Source organism: Homo sapiens, chromosome 16 (assembly GCF_000001405.40).
Source record: "Homo sapiens chromosome 16, GRCh38.p14 Primary Assembly".
Taxonomy (NCBI): Eukaryota; Metazoa; Chordata; class Mammalia; order Primates; family Hominidae; genus Homo; species Homo sapiens.
The window spans coordinates 56,769,861-56,792,602 of record NC_000016.10 but is presented as its reverse complement, the minus strand read 5'-3'; the positions used below and the strand labels follow the sequence as shown (position 1 = coordinate 56,792,602).

Genomic DNA, 22,742 nt, shown 5'->3' with positions numbered 1-22,742 from the left:
ACTTAACTGGATCATACTTTGAAGTATATCCTTAATAGAGATTTAAAAGTTGAGTGAGCTGTACAAAACGGTTTCTTGAGCCTCTACCAACTTAAAAGCTCTTTGGGGTTCTATGTCCAGATGACCCAGTTCATACGTAGCAAAGTTCAGACTCAGAACCCAAATTTTGTGACCCCTTGTTTTCCCTCTTCCACGCTCCATGCTATCTCTCATCATAGCAAATCAAGGTGAGATAAACTGATATTTTATGTTTGCACATTTATTCCTCCCCCCCATACATTACATAGGAAAGAAATGAAACAACAAATGTCAAGTTTTTGGCATTCCTTTAGAACAGTGGTTTTCAAAATATGAATCAGAACTCATAACTGGGTCATGAAATCAACCAGTTTTTTGTTTTTTTGTTTGTTTTTTGTTTTTTAAGAGATGGGGTCTCACCCTGTTGCCCAGGCTGGAGACAAGTGGCACAATCACAGCTCACTGCAGCCGCAAACTCCTGTGCTCAAGTGATCCTCCCACCTAAGTCTCCGGAGTAGCTGGGATTATACATTCTTGCCACATCTGGCCCAATCAGCATTTTTTAATAAAATAAATGCAACAGAGATATGTGGTATGGGTATTGATTTGTGAAACTTTTGTTTCAATTATATATATGTAATTGTATGTGTGTATGAGTCACAGTCTAAAAGCTTGAACTCATTGCTTTAGAGGTCAACACCATAGTGTTCCAAAATAGTGCTACTATTATTGTTGTAGAACAATAAATGCTACACATCTGTCCAAGCAGTATCTCCAGTCATGTGTTCCATCTTTGACAGAGAAAGTGCTTCGCTGCTTTGCAATGTATCCTGGCAAAGAACAACCCAGAACGTAACATCAAGGTTAACTTGATTCTCCTAAGGAACGTGTAGTCACATCTCAAGGACCTGGCAGCCAAAGTGGATCTTAAATGGCTCAGGTCAAGAAAGGCATGAAACTGCCTTATTTTTACCTATCATGCAAACTCTGGGTTTCAGAATACAGATGGCAGCTAATTCCTACTGTAGAAAAAGGGAGCGAGCAAAAGGATGTTTGTTTTCGCCAAATGGCCAAATTCTCTTGGCTTATTTGTTCCCAAAAGTGAAAACTACAATAAATAAGGGCCTTTGTGAAAAAAACATTCAGTGTCCACCTTAGCCAGGAAAGTCAGATGGCAAAAAAGTGCTCACATTGGTTCTTTCACAGTTCTGTCCTTCCCACCTATAGCAGATAAGTGATTGGACAGTTGGACAGTTACACAGAGTCTGAATTGATGAACACACAAATTTCCTGTTAAAATAAATAAACAAGAGCCTAATTTGGGCTTACAAGGCAATAGTCATGTTTTCATGACCTTCAAAACACAAGAGACTATCTCATGTCTCTTTCCATTAAACAGACCAACCAGCAATCCACCATATCAAAATGTAAAAGTGAGGCATCTACAGCAGGCTGAACATTTACCAGAAGGTATCTGGTATGACATAAAAATAGGTGCCGGGTGCTACAAAAATCATGTATCATCTCTCATTTTAATATGTACAATACATACAAATTAATAGGAAATCTGCAGCCAACATTCCAAATCAAAATAACATCAACACAAAATGAGCAGTGGCATCAGGAATGGTCATTGTTGTTGAAAAACCATTGCTAAGACACAAGCAACAGCTAGAAAGCAATGAAGGAAGAAAGAAAATATAATAAAGCAGTTAAAAATTAATCAATAAAGGATCTGCTCCAAGATAAAACAAGAAGTCCAATAAGTATTGGAATACTATTGAGTATTCAGTTGGTACTAAAGTTAGTACTTTAGTTAGTGCAATGGAGAAGTATCCACATTCTAAGAAGACAGGAATGTAAGTTGTACCATTACTTTGCTTCAGCTCATTCTAAGTAAAATGCTCCCTGAACCTCTCCCAAACCTTCTTGCCAATTTCTGAACAAATGAATGACCTCTTCTAAAAACTTCTCTTGGATAAAATTAGTACAAAGATAAAAAACTACTTATGGAGAAAATGAGGAAGGATGAAATAAGATACTGTTTTCAGATGAGCACAACAGAAATCCTACCAGTACCTGGAGAGCCTCTGGGCTTATCAGACGGTGTGGACTCGCTTTTCATTAGCTCCCTTTTGTGGTGCCTACACGGAGAGCGCCTCAAGGATTTTTTCAAGTGCAAAGAGATGTTCATTACTGATAAAGCCCAGAAAATGAACAGAGAAATTTTTTAATTTGAGCAGTTTCAAGATTTGGGTGAACTTCCATAAGGGTTTATAGCATGTTTGGTTATTTCATTAGACACTATTACTGAAATAAAATAAGAATATATAAAACGTCAGCTTACAAGGCCCATGAGACACTGAATTTCCTTCTGCAAGGAATACAGACTGAATAGCAAAAGTCCAGGCTTTATTCTCCAACTCAGATATTTAAAGTACCACTGCTTGTTTTTTTGTTTTGTTTTGTTTTGTTTTGTTTTGTTTTGAGATGGAGTTTTGCTCTTGTTGCCCAGGCTGGAGTGCAGTGGCACCATCTGGGTTCACTGCAACCTCTGCCTCCCAGGTTCAAGCAATTCTCCTGCCTCAGCCTCCTGAGTAGCTGGGATTACAGGCGCACGCCACCATGCCCAGCTAATTTTCTGCTTTAGTAGAGACGGGTTTTCATCATGTTGGCCAGGCTGGTCTTGAACGCCTGACCTTAGGTGATCCACCTGCCTCGGCCTCCCAAAGTGCAGGAATTACAGGCGTGAGCCACTGCACCTGGCCCTGTTGCTTGTTTTCTACAAAAATTTTAATACTTTAAATTGTTTGTTCACAGATTGCATATATAACTTCAAAAATAACCCTGCAGAAAGCAGTGCTAAGCGGGCAGAGCTGATATTCGCCAACTGTAATATGTTTTTAATGCTGTTATATGATTTCTTGCTGTGCATTTATGCAAAAGCCTAGTTGCTCTCATTCAGCAGGTGGCAGCAGACGCTGTAAGAGTGGCTGTGGAGTTCCACCATTTGCCAGCTCAGCAGATCCATCACTGCTGCAGGCAGCTCTGGAGCCACAGGTGGCAGACCTTGGCGATATAACATGGCACTGTGTGGGCACCAGGCCATCTGTCACTGTCAGACTGCTGGGTCCCATTTTGTACATGGTTTCTGCTATTGGGCTAAAAAAAGGTTCACACAATTATGTGACGGATTTGTGTCCATTAAGGCAAAACAAATTATTTGCCCCCATGATTTAAATTGGTTTTCAGAATGGTCTATAAGTTCTCACAGGTTAAAGAGAATTGAATGTGCATAAGGTGATTCAAAACCTGACAACACATGGCACTGGGCAATGCCTCCTTCTGGACCAGCAAAGGGCTTTACAGGCAACACTTTAGCCCAAGTGTGCTGGCATGCTTGGTCCCTTCAGGGGCATGCCATTACAGCTGTGATATAACTCCATTTGCACCTTTGCCTTCTGGGAAAGCCACAGGCCTTAGAGACACTAATGTAAGTCTATCCAAATGCCTTTTGCAGACCCTACCTACTACCACCCCTCCACCTCCCAAAAAAGAAAAAAAAATTATCATGCAACAAAAACCCAACTTCAAAGATTTCAGCATCGGGTAAAAAAAAATAAAATAAATTAAGAGGTGGGACTCACCATGACCCAGAGGGGAAAGCTACAGGGAAAGTCATCTGCAATAATGGGGACATGCCATTCCTGTGGTGGGGTACTGAGGAGACCAGAGATGCATGACACATCTCCCTTGTCAACACAATGTAGGCACATAACTACTAGATGGCTCTTCTGATACCTACACCACAGTATCAAGCTAGGGCTGCTTAGCGCATCTGTTGCTGCACTTGGGGAGGAAGGCCAAGGTTAAGGGCATTCCTATGATGGCCATTTAAATCTCCGTGCTACTACTGCAAAGCCAGTTCTGCCCTTTTCAGGGGCCCTGGGGCATTTCTGTTATTTGCACTTCTCTCTCTGGTCATCCCAGGAAGCAGTCCTTCCGGCTCAGTTACTGAAGGGCTCTGAGACTCCGTATGGAGTGCAAACAAGTTAAGGGCATAATATAAATGAATAAAATGATAAATGATGGCCACCCAGGCACTAATGGAAAAAATGCTTCTCAGCAGAACCTCCCTCTTCTCCAAAATCCAGCAAAGCCCTATGCTACCCTTGTAGGGTTGTAGAAGCAACTTTCCTTTGGAGGTCACAAGAGGGATAGGGAAAGGAATTGACTGCTCTGTACTGCTACTTTACCACCTCCAGAAAATCAGGCCAGAGCCCGTGTCCTAGTGAGAAGGGCCGTGATGCAGCAGGATGTGCCAGGCTGTGGTGGAAGGGCCTCTGCTGGCCATCCTCTCTCTCCTCTCCTGGGAGGGTAGGGGAAGCAGGACCAACAGAAGTCCAGTGGGGGAGGGAGAGCAGCCAGGCAACTGCTGTCAGACTGCTGAGGTAACCCCAGGAGAGAAAGCAGGGATAACTGTGAGCATTTTATCCCCTTCCCGCAATCACTCCAAAAAGGTTAGGGCTAAACTTTGGAGACGCAAGAAAAGAGAGGATTTGGAGGAGAAAATGGTTCAATCTAGCTTCACAAATGGAATATTAACAGTGTGTCACAGTATGTCTGGCTTCAAAGAGCAGCAGCAGAGCCCTCTCCTCACCCAAGGTATAAATAGATCTAAAAAATATTAATCACAGTCACGCTAAGGTGATGGGCAAGATAAGATAAGGAAGATACATTCAGGGATGATAAAAAATGTTTCAATATGTCTTCAGGGAACTGATTTCCACCTTGGAAATGCATTAATCCACTTCCAAAGGACTCTGGATGCTAAAACCGCACTGCAGTATAAAATGGGAATGCATCAATAGTGGCCTTTATCATGACCAGCATTCCTTCCCACAGCTCCCGAAACCCACCCTACAAGAACCCACTAAAGCAGTTCTTTACTATTTAAAGCACACACACAGATCCCCAGCTTTGTCATATCTAGTGTCTTTTTCCCTTTGGAAAAAAGAAACAAAAGCAAGATTTGGGGGCCACGAGCAGGAAAGGATAGCAGAGGGTGTGTCTCGCAGTCAGTCAGGTAGGAGCTGAGCAGCTTTGCCAGGCTGGTTTCTACAGCGCTCAGGATTAAGCCTCGAGTTCTACTTAGCAAGCACAAGGAGCACTGTTAGTCAGGACAATGTTTGGGAACCAAGTCTCACATTTCCCTGCTGGTATACGGTGTCAGTCATTTACACTGCAGTCGAAAATCACAGCTCCTCCTGCTATGCAGCAATGCTTATGCTGATGGGATTGGAGCACCAATCATCACAGATCTGTCACAGAAAAGGGAGCTCTGGTTTTGCTGCAGTTTCTTCTTATTCAAACATTCTTTCTTCAAAAATGGATTTGTTTGGAGACTACTAAAACAAACAGACCTTCCCTTTTGTAATTTCACGTTCTCTTAAATGGAATTCATCAAGGTATTCCTTTGTTAACAGTATTGGTGATTTCACACTCTCTAAAACCTTAATTAAGTTTGGAAACATTGTGACTTTACCCTGTCAGAGCTGAGGAATACTGCAGAATGCAACACTCACCATTGTCACCACAGGTATGGAAAACTGGAAACACTGCTTAGCTGGAGTGGCAAATACAGGCAACAGAAAGAGAGATGGTAAGACCATTATTCAAATACAAATTGCCTGAAACTGACAGCGAGCTAAAACCTTTCACCTAGCTCATCCTTACTGGGAGGAGAAGGGGAGACTCTGCCCTGCAGGACCCCTCAAACCTAGAGTTAAAAAGGTCGTGACCCACTAAAAGGACATGTCAGAATGCCTGGCTCCATCCTAGCTTACAGCACATGAACGTAACAACTCTGCCCATCCCAGGAGACTTCACCGTTCATGCCGAGCCAACACAATGGACCCAAAAGCTCAACTTGCAAGATAGAGTTTATTTTTAAATGTTTGTTTATAAATGCTTATCATCTTCAACACAGGCCCAGGAAGACTCCAAGCACAGCTCAGTAAGTAATTTCTGGCACAGCTGAAAATGAACATCTCTGTGAGTTAGGTTGCTAAGGCAAAGACAAGACAGACTTTGCTGAAAGCTCAATCCATTAGATCAATCAGTCACCAGCAAGCTGGCAGAGAAAGAAATGGAGTCAGATGCAGACAGAGACACAGTGCAGCACAGATTAGGAGTCAGGTGGTCCAGATTTAGGGCAAAATCGACTGCTTTCCAGATGTATGACCTTGAGAAAGTTATTTAACTGCAGTTAAGCCTTCCTTTACTTAACTATAACATGAGCTGATTGCACTAAACCCTAAGGCCAGCAACAGAACTCCAACTTCATGAGAGGTGGGAACAGGTGAGAAATCAACACTGTCATTACCACTATGACTATTGTTCACATGCAAAATAATCCATACCTTGAACCACAAAAGAAAGAAAATAAGCTTTGTTTTTGAAGGTGGCCAAAATATATATTTTATATATAAAATAACTAAAACCCACAAAGAGCTAGAATGAAAACCAGAGACAAATAACATAGTTTCGTAGGAATGCTACTTCACCTCACCATAAAGAAGCACACTGTCTTTTGTTTTCTAAAAATTCACCCTGTGTTGGAAGGAGTAAATTTTTATACTAAAAAAGAAAAAGAAAGCATAAGGCAAGGCATTTCAGAAGTATTAACACAAAGTACTTTAAATTCTATTTTAACCATACTTGCCATCAATTTCTTAGAAGGAACATTTGAAGCCATCTACATATAAGTGCTAATTAAATCTTTACTTCGAAAATCTCAAAATTTTTATCTTCTAACAATAAAAAGTGGTTGTAAATAGGCAAGGCAGTGCTCCTAAAGGTGTCTTCAAACCTAATTTAAAGAAAATAATTCGTGCGGTCCACCCCTTATCACAGTGTTCCTGGTGACGCCATTTTACTCCTTCCTCTCTGCCATCTTAGTACCACGGAATGTTTCCTAGCGAGCTGGCTGACATGCTTGCTTATCCACATTATGGTACTGTCAGAGCAGTAAAAGGTTTGATACAAATACATTTTTTGTTGCAAAAAGAACCAATCCCTGACTCTTCACTATCAGCCAGGCTAAAATTTCATGAGAAAACTGAAGAGTTTCCAGATTGAAGAGGTTCAGGAATCCCCTACAAGTACCAGAAAGGAGAGGCTCTTCCGAGCAGCCAAACTTGAGTAGACCATGGTGGAGGCAAAGAAAGCAGGAAGAAACTGGGTCTCTCCTACCTCCCCCAGGGTACTTAACACCTAGCCTTATTATAAAGCCAACAAAAGGAAAAAAGACCAGGATCTTCAACAAAGTTTTACTGTAAAAATTTCAAAGGGAGGCTCTGTGATACCCCCCATGTCATCCAACCAAACATTTTATGCAAACAAATCTGCAGTTAAAATGGAGTTCTAATTTGCTGACCTAAAACTCTTTCATTTCAAGGTGCAAGCCTCATAAAAACCAAGGGAAAAGAATCCCTTTGCATTCTACCATATATTTAAACATGTTAAATGCTGTCCCCATAATTAAAAAATTATGCTGAGATCTAGGCTCTTATTCCGTAAGTTAATATTTGCGCCACAGATTTATGGATCTTGTAGGATTCTAACCAGGGCTTACAACAACCGAACCTTCCTATGTCAATGAAAAGGCTGATGTGAAGAAAATCATTGTCTCCCTAGTTTCCAACATCTATTAATTAGAGAAGACAGCACTCAGTGAGTAGGATAAACAGGAGCTAGTGCAACAAGAGCTAGAAGAACAGCTGGCTTTATAAATTTGATATCAAGTTAAAAGGATTTTCAGATACCCAGTTCTGTGAAGCTTCAACTCCTGAAACAGCTAATAAAGCATGTTGAGCAAATTCTTCATGGTAAAGTTTACTATAAAATACATGCACTATAAATTCTTCAGGGTTTAAAAGATAAAAATTATTCAGCCTTTAAAAGAAACACAAATCAAAGTTAAAATCCACTTGTTTCCTCTTAGTAACAGTATAAAGGAACAAAGAAATAAGCCGGGTCAAATCCAATTAATTTTAAGAATCAAGATTTATAAGCTTACAATTACAAACAGGAGTTTTACACAAGCAGCTTTGAAGTCACAACTATTAATTAAGTAGAAGGCACTAAAAATTATCCCCATGAGTGAGAGTGAAAGCCTCAATCTATTGATCTTTGAAAACAAAAATCTTGTTTTGTCAAAACATTTGTTTCTTGTGTATTTTAATCAGCTATTATAGGTCATTAACCCGGAAGCATTTTCATTAAAAACAAGAGCAAAAATAAGACACTAAAATTAAAATCCAGCCATTCTTTTCAGGAATGGAAAACAGACTGCTTTTAAAAGACAGTGAAAAGAAACCTGAACTCTTTTAAATTTACTATATTCAGATTTCTTTTTCCTCTCAAGTGTCATTTCCATTCATGACTAGTGACAAATTCATACTTCTCATTAACTTAAATTACTGATGAATAATTAAAATCATGTGCTAAAATCACTCACAAAACCTATTTTTAAGTATATATATCACACCTGGTTTTTGAGAAATACATTAAAAAAAAATCCAGTGTAACGCAGAACCTCTGCGTTACACTTTTCATATTTGCAGCGTTCATTTAAAAGTCTATTTTGCATATTCAACCAAAAGCAAATTTTCAACCTCTCCCTGCTATATGAGTACAAGAAATACTTACTGTAGACAAAAGAATTCCATTTTCTTTCTGGGAATATTCTCCACCTTCCTAAAGAACTCTTCTATACAATGTGCAAATTCATTTTCTTAGTTTTACAGTAACAAAGCTCCTGTGCCATGGAACCTAATGTAAATGAAATGGCCTTGCAGCTGCCTTCAGAATACAGCTCACCTCGACCATGATACAGCTAATTGTTAAAAATGGTGGCTGAGACATTTTCCATACATTAAATTAAGGAGCTCTGATGAAGGCGCTGGCATCCACCCACTTCAGACAAAGGGAAATAATTTGCAACTGTACCAAGGCGTGGATAATTGAGTCATCTCCCATACAGGGTCAGTGTTAGAGGTTTCCTCCATCTTTACAAAATGCAAACCACATCTCATTGTCTCATCTCAGAAATCGATTCTTTGCAATGCTGCACTGGGTCAGAGTTTCAAAGGAATCTTAGTCATGGGTAAATCCAGAACTCCAATGCCAAGAGGAGCCGAATTCTCACAGTTCCTCTCCCTCTGCTGAGCAGCTCTCCTGTATTCCCCAATTGACAGCTCCTCAAGTCTTCCTATTGTTAAGAGTAAAGAAAGTCCCCACACCTCCAAAGGGAAATAAACCCCTCAACTAGGGTGAACAATTTCCAAGTACATGCTTCAGAAAGAGGTCCAGACCCCACAGGTCCCACAATACAAATACATTCCTTAGGATAAAAAGCCATATGCATCATCATATTTTGTTGTTGCTTTTAAGAGAAGACAACAAACAAGCTGCTTTTTAATGCCGAATTAAATGTATTGTATCTTTGATATTAATCAAGGTATTAAAAGTATTGCAGGCAAGATTTATAATTCTATCACCCTCCAGATAATGCTTACATGACTTAGGAAGTTTTCATTTCACTTACACAAATTATATTCTCTAGCCAAAAATTTGAAATATACTTAAAGGACTCCTATGATCTCTTTTGAGACTGAATTTAAGAAATAAAAAAGAACCATCTCAATTTAAATTGCCAATATTTAGTAAATACTTAGGAATCCTCCTCTTTGGTGTTACTGTTTAGTTCTTCTCATTTCAAGCCTTATGCTAAAACATTTCCTGTGAGATAGTTCAAAAAAATCTCTAATAGTACTTTTTCCCTAATCACCAAATATAAAGGACTGAATTCCTAAAGAATCCTACACACAGACACACCACAGACACAAACAAACACACACACGCACTCACTCACTCTCACCTGCAATCCCAAAGAAGGATCTGGTTTTAGTAAATAAAATAAATTCTATTTTCATATTCCACCTCATACAAGAATTTTGCACTTCACATGTATCTCCTTTAAAAATCCTAAAGACCACACTACTTGCTACTTAAAGAAGAAGTTCACAAAAATCCCAATAACCAACTATTTAAATATTTAAGCAAATTCTGCCCCACCCAATACATTTTTAAAAGAAAAAATATTAGAATGGCAAGATACAAATCTGAACAATTCTCAGAAGAATCAAGTACTTCTTCTATCAAATGAGTTAACTGCTTCCAAATTTATCTCAAATTTTCAAACAAACCAAGACCTTGTCTTTCAGAGGCACTGCAACAACATGCTGCCACTCTATTTACCAGGGTGCATTTGTCTTAATTTCTTTACAAAACACGGCCAATCCTACCTGCAGCTCTTAAATTTAAGGAGTTACAGAACGGTCGATGCTGTCGATCACTGCAGCTCTTCCAAACCTTCTTATATGAGATGAGCTCTGTCGGAACCAGTGCTCAAGTTTTTCCCACCCCAAACTGCCTGAATTGAGGGATGGGGGTGGGGAGAAGGACAGAGAGAAGAGAAAAAGAGAGAAAGAAGAAAAAGGAAAAGAACAACCCCTCTGCAAGTGCTGATGTGACTGAAGCACTAAAGAGTCAAATTAAACAATGAGATTGCAGGGTCCCTTTAAAAAGGGTGCACTGCAGCCCCCGGAGCACAGCATCACCATTCGTTGTGCGCTACACAAATTCAGAGAAGTCAGCCATCAGTTTGAAAGCACAAACTGATGGGAGTAACAGTTTATAGGTTACAGAAGGGTATTTTATTGTTAACGGACTGTACCAAGTTAAGATTTAAGAGGGGGAGAGACAACATGTAGGCAAGGAATGCTATGATACTTTTTTTCCCCAACCCAAACCACTGCAATTACTCTGATGTGAATCTTTGATGACTTCCGACATCTTGCATGGTTAATAATCGCTTCAGCTGTCATGTTTGGTTAATGTGGAAAATGCATTTGCTGCATTGTGATGCAGTGCTGTGGCCACAGATTGTAACACCAGTTGTGAAGCTGGTCCCTTAACTGAGCAGCAGGAATTTGCACATGCCATGATGCTAAAATAAATGGTAGTTAAAAGATTTTATACAGCAGCAGACAGATTCTGCCATTTTAGTCTACAGTATGTGTAGATACAACATACAGAAGCATCTCGGATCATTGTGCCCTTGTCAATTGTACTGTCCTTCAAGCAGAACAGTAAATTCGCCATCTTAAATGTTTGGCCTCTTAGTAGTTAAAAGATTTTGATACTGTTTAATAACTATTCAGATTAATTATAGCTTTGAAAAGAACAGAGGTTATTTGCATTTCAGGAATATACAGCCAATGAAACTGTCACTGACACAGGAAAATGCAGACCTTTTATTAACATATGCTCAGCTCAACTGTCACTTCTTTGCACAACATTTAGGGGAAAATATATGATGTGTAAGTAATGAATATTCCCATTCTACTGCAATGATTTTTAAAAGTGCTCCTCAGGAAGGGATTTTTTTCCTCCACGTTTTAACATATAACCTGAAAATTGAAGACTACATTAAAATATTATCATGTTTTTCACTGTCAAAAAAGGAAATTCAGTGCGGCAAACAACTGTACAATTATAGGAAAGCTTGTGAAAAAGCAAAGACAGAGCCACGCTAAGACCAAGGCACCAGATGATTAAAGTCAGGCTGGTCAGGTGATGGGCCATCATCATGGTGCAGACTGCAAAAGGAAAATAGAACCATTCTCTCCTCAAAAACAAAAACCACAAACCCTAAGATTGCAATCTGTTGGTTGCAAAACCAACATCTATACTGCAGAATCTGAAAGACACATAATATTTGCCAATTTCATGATGTATTTTTATATAAATATTAACTTGGCTATTTAGCATACAGAATTTGACTACTGACGGTTCTTACTCAGCTACCATCATCATTTTTGTATTTTAAGAAGCAAAACCAACTTACATTGTTCCTTTAAAAGAATAAATATAATTAACTTATTTCTTACATCAGAACTTTTGCCAATTAAATAAATACCCAGAGTTGAGATGTTTCAGACATTTCTGCCTTACAAAAACAAACAAAAAACCCCAAGTAAACTAAAAAGAATGAACATAGGAACACACTGGTGTCTGAACAGTGAATAACAATGAAAGAACTTATGTTACTAGCATAAAAATCAACTCATGATTTCCTTTGTTTTATTCATTGTGATAACACCAAATGCATAATTTGGAGGTGCATGTGTTAACGAGCACTGTAAAGCTGAAGAGCTTTCTAGTTTTCTTACCCTAACTTAAAATTAACTGCACCAACAGTGCTATGTGGTGCCATAGCAGATGTCACAGTAGTTGTAGCTAACATTCAACAATCAAGCTTTTTTTGTTCCAGACCCAATACAAGGTACCACTAACAGCTGAGAAAACTGCACAAGGAGGGAGGGAGAAACGTGTGTGTTGAGGGTAGCTTTGAAATTAACCAGGCTCAGCTTATGCTCCAATTACTGAACAAAAGACAATCCTGGGGGACCTCTCTGAACCAGTACAAGAAGCAAACTCTTTTGTTTCTGATCAAATAAATACTGTACTGGAGCATGGTGGATATATAGCAATAGGAATCTCTGCCTGGGGATGAAAAGAACCCAAAGACCCAAGTGTGGTTAAAGTCAAACTATTTCACGGATGTAAAACCTGTTCCCAAGGGATACATCTGAGGTTCACTACAGGGGAGTAAGAAAACCCTCTTTATTTACTGAAAAAAACTTCACCAAGTCACTGTTAAGACGTTTTTCCTCTTTAGTATTGCCAACAAATAAATTAAGAGGGTATTTCTTTATGCTAGAATAAATTCTAAATCAGCTCAGCCCCTTCTTCCTCCATCTACGAGTATCCCAAGGAAACTAGATGAGTGGCTGGCTTGGAGTTGCAAGATATGCTGGCTGGAAAGGACCTCTGAGCAGAAGTGTTAACTATCCTGCCTTCAGACCCCAGATGCCTGAATAGGTAAGGAGGTCACAACAAAAATGCTACAAAGAAGCCACCTTACAAAGGAGGTGCTTCTCTACTTACTCGTCACTAACTGAACATAAAGTGATCTATTCCTAAATTTGGTAGTCCATTGTTTAATTTTGTATTTTGGCTTTACATAACCCTAGACACCAAAAACTAAAGCAAAAAGAAAAGGGTTAAAAACTAACGGGTCCAGCATTCATTAATATAAGGGATTAAAGTGGGCTCACTTAAACAAATGTAGAGATTACAGTCTAGAAAAGGGAGCTATTGAACTTTTGTGGTTCAAGTAGAACTATAATAATTGCCAGGTAAAATAATATTCAAGTGAACAACTGTAGGGCTCTACAGTACAGTGACCATATATAGAACTTTACCCAGAAAAACTTTTACAGATACTTGGTGGGCTCTGCTCTGTCTTCTGCCAGGTTCTCCAGGCTGCTGGGAAGATCAATAGTACTGGTGGGTAAGTGCTTTTAAGAGTAAAGAAGGAAGCCAGGTGAGGCTGAGTGATGACTCCCTCTATGAGCAAACTCCCAGCTTTCTGAGATACAGCTGGGAGAGCTGGGTCCCTGCTCCCTTTCCACCCCACCACTACCAACCTCCTCCTGGCTTCTTCTCCTCACTGAGACCTTGGCCCTTTGCCTCCTGCTAAACATTTCTCCTATTACACATTCATTTCTACTGCCACAATTCTTCTCTCTAGGCCTGTGGCTCTTGAAAATTCTGTATGGAGCTGTTTTCTGAGAAATTTTCTTACCCCATCTCCAAATGCTTCAGGAGCATTTCCACAGTGATAGCTTACCAGAACATCAGAAACGGAAATGAAATCTCAACTCTCAATCTAGTTAATCTTCCAATTCCTTAGCCTCAACAAAAAGCACCCATCCTTCTCCTTGCCCCAAACCTCACGTAATTTCTGAACATCCTTCTTAAGCCCATCAGGCACCACATGTGGCAGATGTTTTATCCCAAATGTCCCTCACACATCTTTTTCCTCTGTTTTCTCAGCTACCACATTGGTCCTGGCTATTGTCACCTCAAAGCTGTATTACTACAATTGCCTCTGAATGTCATCTAGCAGCTATCCTTCCACTGGCCAAACCAACTTCCATAAGTACTGCCATGCCCTCCCTCCTTTCTGCTCAATATTTACCTGCTTCGAAACTTTCAACACCTGCCGCCTACACTCCACTGCCTGGCAGTCACTCCTTCCATGTCTGACTGCCCTTCCCTGACAGATTTTACTTCTTAGCACATAACTTCCATTTCTTACCTCCCTGACTTTGGTCAGGTTATTACTCTTCTTTCACTTCCGGCAAGCTAAACCCATTTCATTTTTCAAGGCCCATCTGCTCCAGGGAGTCTTTCCCAACTACCCCAGAATTCATTCGTTATTAACCGCTTCCACGCCTCTGAATTCCCATGGCATTTAGAATCCTGTGTCGCTCTCATTCAGTCTGTCCGTCACTTTTCACAGCTTGGACAGTTTGATCTTGCAGGAATGTCGGTGTTGGCTCTATAGGTAGAAGACAAACTTCCAGAGGGCAGCATCCAGAATTTGTATTTATTCGAATTATCTCCATAGTGCTGTCCTTAACGGGCACTGAACAAAACCACTTCTTAACTTTTATTAGTGTCTACTAGGCCCTGCCCAGGTAGATGCAGGCAGTTATACTTAAAGGGGAGCTAAATATTACTTTTGCTTGTTCTTTCAAATCTTTTCAGCTCCCTGAGATAATTCCAGCCTTAGGTGGTAACATACTAAGGCGGTTCTTGGCCAATGTACCGAGGCACTAAGCTCTTCTTTGTGACTAAGCATCATTACCAACAGTATTCAATTCCCAAAGTTGGCTTCCTCATTATATGCAACTACAGCCACGGAAGTTCGGGGAAAATGAGACGGCCTGACCCAAAGTCAGTGGTATGGCATTCACAGCTCATCTGTCCTTACTAATTAGCTGAGAATGAAGAAGCAATTCTGCTAATTTATTGCAGACATTTCATCCTGAATATTATTTTAAGTGAGGAACACCAGATTTAGGCAGTCAATAAAAAAAAGAGAAGATTTCTGCACAGCCTTATTTAGCACTAAAACAAATTACAGTTCATTCTCTCTTGCTGATACCCAAACTAGACTGCCCAGGAGTTAAGAAACAACAGGGAAAAGTAAGCTTTCCCAGCTAATAAGTTCCTGCTGCCCCAGAGTGGTGGTTCTGACTTTGATATGACTATAAACCAAAAGAGTGAGAGCAGGGTTTATAAGTGGGCCAGATACGAAATGCACCTCGGTGAAAGAAATTTCAGAAGTAAGATTTCCATTTTAAATGTGTTTTCAAGAAGTAGTTCCCCAATAAAAGCAATTACTAATGGGAAGAGGCTAAAATGGGAAGAGGAAGTATAGTCCTCAATATTTCTCCAGGGCAATTCACTACAGTTTTAAGCAGCCTCCCAGATTTCTAAAAATCAAAATGGGAAAGGCTCTTTTCCTATCAGTCTGTCTCTGTTTCTGTCACACACACACACGTGCGTGCACACACACACACGCTCACTCTCTCTCTCAGCATCTATTAAGCCTTGGTATTTAGACAGAGGGAACAAATGAGACTTTCAGCAAGAACTTGCAGAATATGTGAAGAAGTTCTACCACAGTAAAAAATACATGAAATAATAAGATATATGTTCACTGGATTCATAGCCACAAAATTTCAGGCACAAAGAGACTCAAACTCAGGTTCTGGCCCAGGTCCTGGCTTTGGGCCAAGACCTGGCTTTCTTGTTTCCTTACAGAGAGAGCTCTTGGCACAGCACTATGGGACACGTACTGAGAAAAACTGCATGGGTGCCTGCTAGAGCCCCAGATTTCATGGAATTTTAAGTCATTACATGGGGGATGGTGGTGGTTGCACAAGAACAGCTTCTAGCTTGTTAATTCTTGTTACCAATGTACTTTTCACAACAGATGTATTTCTTGCCAGGTTGATTGTAAATAGAATTCTTTTAAACAAATTCTATTTTAAATTCAGCAGGGAAGCTGTTATTTGAAGGAATACTAAAGCTGAACATTGTCCCAAGGTTTCTTTTACAAATCTAGATATTCAGATTTGGATTTGCTTATTAAAAGCAGAGTCCATCATAATTTTACTATTATGTTAAAGAAAAGACACTAAAACCTTAATTTTTATATAGTTTTTGCACATATTTATTATTTGTGCTACTATCTGGAAAACAGTGATATGGCCAGATACTGGTAAGAAAAATACAAAATAAAAGACTCCTCAACGGAAAGAAAAGGTTTATTAAAATTATCCAACCCTCAACGATTTAAACAAGGGGGGAAAAAACTGTATTTCTTTCATTATCAGGTTATAATTTTACACACTGACATAAATAAAATGTAGCTTTCTCAAAGTTTTCTATGAAGAAAACTTAAACGCAAAATTCTATTTTTTCATCAATCCCTATTATAAAATTGAAAATAGCATTCCTCAAAGCAATAAAAAAAAAAATCTGGCACCAACAAATAAAAGTATATGCAAGGATATAAACTTTAAGAAAAAAAAAATATATAAAATAACCAGAGTAAAAATGATGAGAAATGACAGTAAAATGAATTTGAAACAGCAACTATGGTGATGACCTGTGGGTTACTGGTCCTACATGAAGGGTGCAAGAGGTGAGGGGGCCCCTGCCTTTCTTTACCCCTACTTCAGGTCAGGATAGACAACCATGGCAAGGGAGGGGTGGCCTTGTCTATGGGGCCCTATAAAATACTGGGTTGGGCTTTCATCGCTATACCTGTGCCCTCCTCATCTCAAAATAGGGGCACAAGGATCTGCAATTCTAACATTTTTTTGGGAAAAACAGGCTGATTTTAAAATCCGCTTTCCCCACACTGTTCTCTCCATCAGGCTTCCAGCAGGGACAGGCAAATGGTTTTAAAAACAATGGCCCAGTTTTATTGACATGCTACTTAACAGTAAGTCCTCCAGCAAACTACTGAGGAGACCAAAACGTTTCCAGTTCTACTACTTTGCCATCTCACACCCTTAAGATACTGGAGCATTTTAAGTAGCCAGTTTCCCTCAGGAAAACCTACAACACTGAAACTGTAGTAAGAATGGGTACTATATTATATCCACTTAAAGTGCTTAACACAGCATCATGCACAGAATAAGTGCTCAACATGACTGATTAACCTATAAATTGCTGAGTATTATTATTCAGAAGTTCTAGAAATGTCTACATAACTCCAGATGGTCATCAGCCTTTTCCAACTGTAGTGTTTCTTGGCAAACTATCATTTAGCATTTAATCTGGTGAAGTGTTCCTATGAAGCTACCTACACATTACTAGAACTTAATTCGGGCTGGGCGCGGTGGCTCACATCTGTGATCTCTGCACTTTAGGAGGCCAAAGTAGGTGGATCGCTTGAGCTCAGAAGTTTGAGACCAACCTGGGCAACATGGTGAAACCCCATCTCTAACAAAAATACAAAAAATTAGCCAGGCATGGTGGCATGTGCCTGTAGTCCCAGCTACTCGGGAGGTTGAGGTGGGAGGATCACTCGACCCTGGGAGGTGGAGGTTGCAATGAGCAGAGATTGCACCACTGCACTCCAGCCTGGGCAACAGAGCGAGACTCTGTCTCAAAAAAAAAAAAAACAAAAACAAAAACAAAAAAAACCTTAATCTGGTGACTGATAGGACTACCCACATATGATTTCTAAAATCAAGCAGTGATCAAGTCCAGTGGAAAGCATACTGAAGCTAGAGTCAGAACAACTGGGTTCTAGGCAACCAAATCATCCACCTCATGCCTCAGTTTCTTCATCTGCGAAATGAGAAAATACCACCACACCAGCATAAAGTAAGAGCACTGCATGTATTTTCAACCATCTATACAATAGGATTCTCTTCAAAGCCAAGAGAAGCCATTTCAAATGATTTCTAAAACACAGGCAGCACATTTTAATACATTTTTCAAATATGCAGACTGATTTAGACATTTCCAAAGAAATACTTATTCTGCTTCTCTGCTTTCTCTCATGGCATCTGTTGTTACTAGCAGCTAAGGAAAAGTAAAATCTAATGTCATTAACAGTAGACCCAAGATCTCTAGCACACATTTAATGGTGGGGGTGGGGGGCATACAGAGAGAAGCAAATTAAAAGGTGAACAAAATGAGAATGAGAGGAGCTGGGAAAAAGGCAGAGAAATCAGGTTAATGAATAAAAACAAGTCCATCTTTCATCTCTCCTGGCTCCTACTGATAGCAGACGGTGTATTTAATCTGCTGAGAGACCAGATTTAAGGCCTCCTTTTGGCATAGTCCATCCATGAATTATTAACATTTGCAGAAGCAACAGCACATCCGCTCACAGCAATCAGAGAGGATAATGATGATTAACTAAGATGGGATTATTAATCCTCCCACTTCCCTTTCCCATGTCTCCCTCTCTTCTTTATTCTCCTCTGGGCTCTGACTACTTTTTAGGTAGTATATTTTGAGCTACAGCCTTAATATCAGATTCAATACCTCTATGATGAAAACAATTATAACTGACAAATTATTAAGTCATAAGTTTTTAAATATATATGTTTTAAACATATATTATATTGAACACTATGTCCTTGATGAAGCAAAGATAAAAACAAAGGTGCTTATAAATTCTTTATGGACTCAAACACTTAAAAGATAAATACACTGCTTTGCAGTCTGCTTTGTTTACAGTTTGTTTAGTGAAAATTCAGTATTAGTCCACAGGTGGACTGAGTTTAAAAGTTGGCAGAGACACCTAGAAAAGCAGGTTTACCTACAGTAGACTTCTGTTATCACTTAATTCAGTACATCTCAAGCTGGAGTACTTGTTAAAACACAGACTCTGGGTCGCACCCTCACAGATTTGGATTCAATAGGTCTGCGGGGAGCCTGAGAATCACATTTCTTAAAAGTTCCCAGGTGATGCTGATGCTGCTGGTCTGAGCGCCACACTCTACAATCACTGACCAAAAGGCTTTTCTCTGGTTGCCAAAGGTGTTCAGGGCAGGAGAGGAATGGAGGAGGAAATTAAACCCAACCTGAGCTAGAAAGTTAATACAAAGACAGAGATGAGATCAGTGGCTCCTTCCCCTTCCTAACCCCCAAGGAAAAGCCTAGATGCCTGAAAGGCTCTGCAATGCGTTTGTTGCTCCAAAATAAACCCCATCCCATAACACTGCCCCATCCTCAAAAAAGAAAGTAGAATGAATAGTTAACAAATAGTGAAAAGCATATATGAGGTTGGGAGGTAGATTAATTTACAACTTCATTTCCGAAACACAAGAAACGCAACCAAATGTCTTCTTTTCCTTGGTCAGTTTCTTCCCCGTTCTCCCCCTACTTAGATTTGGCTTTAATGTATAATCAATCATCTAATAATAAATAAGTTGCAACTCTCACCTCAAACCTTGACTTACTAAGTACTTGTGAGGAAAAACCAATTCAAACTGTGTCTACTCTGCTCTCACCACACAATGACAATCAACACAGAAGACTTCCTTTTGGGTTTTTATGGAAGCTTCCTCATGTAGGCATGCCTGAGTAAACCACTGGCCACTGGTGATCAACTTAACCTTCAGATCCTCTCTCTTCCCAGCAGGCTGGAGGAAACAGGGTCCAAGACCAAATACATATTTCGCACTATCACAGTACTGTAACAGAAAACTCTTACAGGCCCTCAATACCAAGCTGAGTCAGACACTAAAAAACAAAGGTAGAAAATTAGCAGAGGCTTCAGGCAATGGCCAAAGTAAGGAAATGCACTTCAGGGTACATATTACAAGAGCAGAACATGAGCAAACTGGCTAGACAAATAAAACTAAATTCCATTTATTTGGGGTTTGCAAATGCAGAAAACACAAGTAAGGAGAGTATGTAGGGCAGTGGAGAAACAAGGAAGAGGCCCACCTCTGATAGACAGCAAGGCTAGGCTTCCACAGAGCTTCCAGGCCCCTGATGGGGAAATGTCATTCCATAGAAAACAGGTAAGAAATGGTCAGAGGAAAGGCAGGGACAAAACATTAAGAAATTCGACCAGTGGTGAAAGAACTAGCTTAGTGTCTTTGCAGAAAAGAATAATATGGCATTTACTCAACGAATCCATCACTTGATGCCTTCCTCAGCAAGGCATAAGAAAAGTAAGACTACAGGACAAGGTATAAAGAATCCGGAGTCCAAACTCACTCTCCAACTGTGTTCATTCCACAGGAAGATAGCTTTGGTGGGTGCATACTGCCAAGCTGTGGGAGCCATTCTAACAGCCGTGTTTTCACAGCTAACACTTGATCAGAAAAATGAGAAAAAATTCTACCCAACCATGTTCTTTATCCTTTTTCTGCCCTCAATACCGCTGAGGCATCCGGTACACTCCCATTAGCAATGGCAGCTCCTGCTGACAGCCAGTCTAAAAAGGCTGAGGCAAGGGGACAGGTGGCAGAGAGAGGGATGCAAAGAACAGAAGGAAAGCAAAAGTGAAAGGAAGAAAGGAGAAAAGACCAAAAAAGAAAAAGAAAAAGAATGAAAGGGAAGGGAACAGAGAAGGTGGTATCCAGCATAAAACAGAAAGCAAAATAATGGCAAAAACAAAACCAAAAAATCTTTCCTTCAATCTGCTCTAAAACCCCTGACATTCCTTCCAGTCCACCTAAAGTTCCAAATATGGCATTTGTTTCAGTTTGCTACTTTTCATTTGCTTGGGAGCAATGACCTACTCAGACAGCATAAACTCAGCACCAAGTCACATAAAGGAAAACAGCAGTAAACTATGTCAGCAGTATCAACAAACATCAGTATCACTTTTTGTTCCAAAGTATATCTCAGATGGAAAAAATGAGGTTTATCACCACTCAGTGCACAGTCCACAGAAGCCAATCACGCCAAATTACTCTTCTAAGTAGCATTTCCATCTCTAATTTAGTTAACCAGCAAGTCTTTCGTGCTGGAGGGAATAAATGGAAATGTCATCCCATAGAAAACAGGTAAGAAATGGTCAGAGGAAAGGCAGGGACAAAACATTAAGAAATTCGACCAGTGGTGAAAGAACTGGCTTAGTGTCTTTGCAGAAAAGAATAATACGGCATTTACCCAACCAATCCATCACTTGATGCCTTCCTCAGCAAGGCATAAGAAAAGTAAGACTACACGACAAGGTATAAAGAATTATTTGGGTTCAAGTTCCACCTTTTACAGTAACTAATCTATCTTAGTCTCAATTTCTTCCCCTTTTAAATAAAGATGATGCCAACACTCACTCAATCCATCTCATACACTGCAGTGTGGAACAAGAGAATGACAAAGCCCACTGTAAAGTATTATACAAATGAAAAGATTATGATGATGTGTCCCTCAAACTTCATACAAAGTTCCAGGCCTATTACTTCCCCCTAAATCTTCCAAATTAGGACAAAGTCACAGAACTTCTCAATAACCAGCCTTCCAAATAGTTTGAGGGGACAATGAAATGATGTAAGGGTTGTTCATGAAATCAGCACATCTCTGATCCCTTTTAGCACATAAGGAAGCTTTTCCGTTACAGAATAAAGGAACAGACTGTGTGTCAATTTATAGGAATTGACCAATTTTGAGCTATGAGGGTCACGTGTTTTTTTCTTTTTTTTTTTAATTTTTCAGTAGAGATGGGGTTTCACCGTGTTAGCTAGGATGGTCTCGATCTCCTCACCTCGTGATCCACCAGCCTCGGCCTCCCAAAGTGCTGGGATTACAGGCTTGAGCTACTGCGCCCGGCCTATGAGGGCCACTTTTACAGTCTATTTCTAACACACACTTCATGTACCAGTCCCTCACTTCTCTATTATCAATTTTCCTTGTCATTTCAAACAAAAGATGGCTACCGTTTCAAGTATGCTGTTTAAAAAGTTCAACACTCCCCAAATGGTATCTGTTCTAACAACTTCAAGGGGGAGTACAACAGTCAAGAAAGTGACTATGGAGCCATTTTCCAAATTTTCTGAAGTAAGTCCATCTTATTTGTGTGACTGGAGGGGGTGGCGGAAGTCAATTTTCCCCCCTTAAAGCCATTCGGTTCTCATTTACTCTCAAAGTCACAGATTTAATGTTTTTGTCATCTCACTCCCTCAGCCTTAACTCAAGGGGTGAAAACACACCCTTTATTCCAGTCAAAAGATGCCCAGGCTGTGAAAGAAGATGGTGAAAGTTTTTTGTGACCAATGATGACTTCTCCAACCACTCCTAAGCCCCTGGCCAGCTCTCTCCATAAACAGGACACGGCACCAGCCCTTCAGCTAGATTCTAATTTCAACTCCATGCCAGCAGAGTGGAACCAGGCAAACCTAATTGTCACCTACTCTTGCATACTCACTGACACCCCTTCTCCCTTCCCTGCTTAGTCTTCTCTTCCTGATTCTGTTATGTTAGTTTGCGTTTGTTTATAAAAGCCAGATAGCCCAAAGAGTACCAGTTTGCAAGACATCAGGTGTTAATGTTCAGCTGAATGTCAATTCCTCACTTTTATACTCTTAGACGTGAATAATTTTGCTGTAGAGAAATCTGTCTTGTATTCTGGAATATACACACAAAGTTGAGGGCTTTGTGTCTTTAAAACCAAATACACATAATACCCTTAGACAGACAAATCATATTATACAATACAAGATTTCAACATTCCGGCACACTGCCAGGGCTTAATG

General features: G+C 39.9%; 1 protein-coding gene across 4 annotated transcripts in view; it reads right to left on the bottom strand.

The window, feature by feature from the left end:
• Positions 1 to 22,742, bottom strand: part of NUP93 (nucleoporin 93) — a 120,158-nt gene that overhangs the window by 57,684 nt on the left and 39,732 nt on the right. Inside the window, exon 1 of one of the 4 annotated variants that reach the window (NM_001242795.2) lies at positions 10,389 to 10,774. The exons of 2 other annotated variants lie outside the window; for them this stretch is intronic. The gene's annotated coding sequence lies outside the window, so the exon portion shown is untranslated. Of the gene's footprint in view, positions 1 to 8,730; positions 9,148 to 10,388; positions 10,775 to 22,742 lie in introns of those variants that run through there. One more of the 4 variants, NM_001242796.2, reaches the window with a different exon arrangement.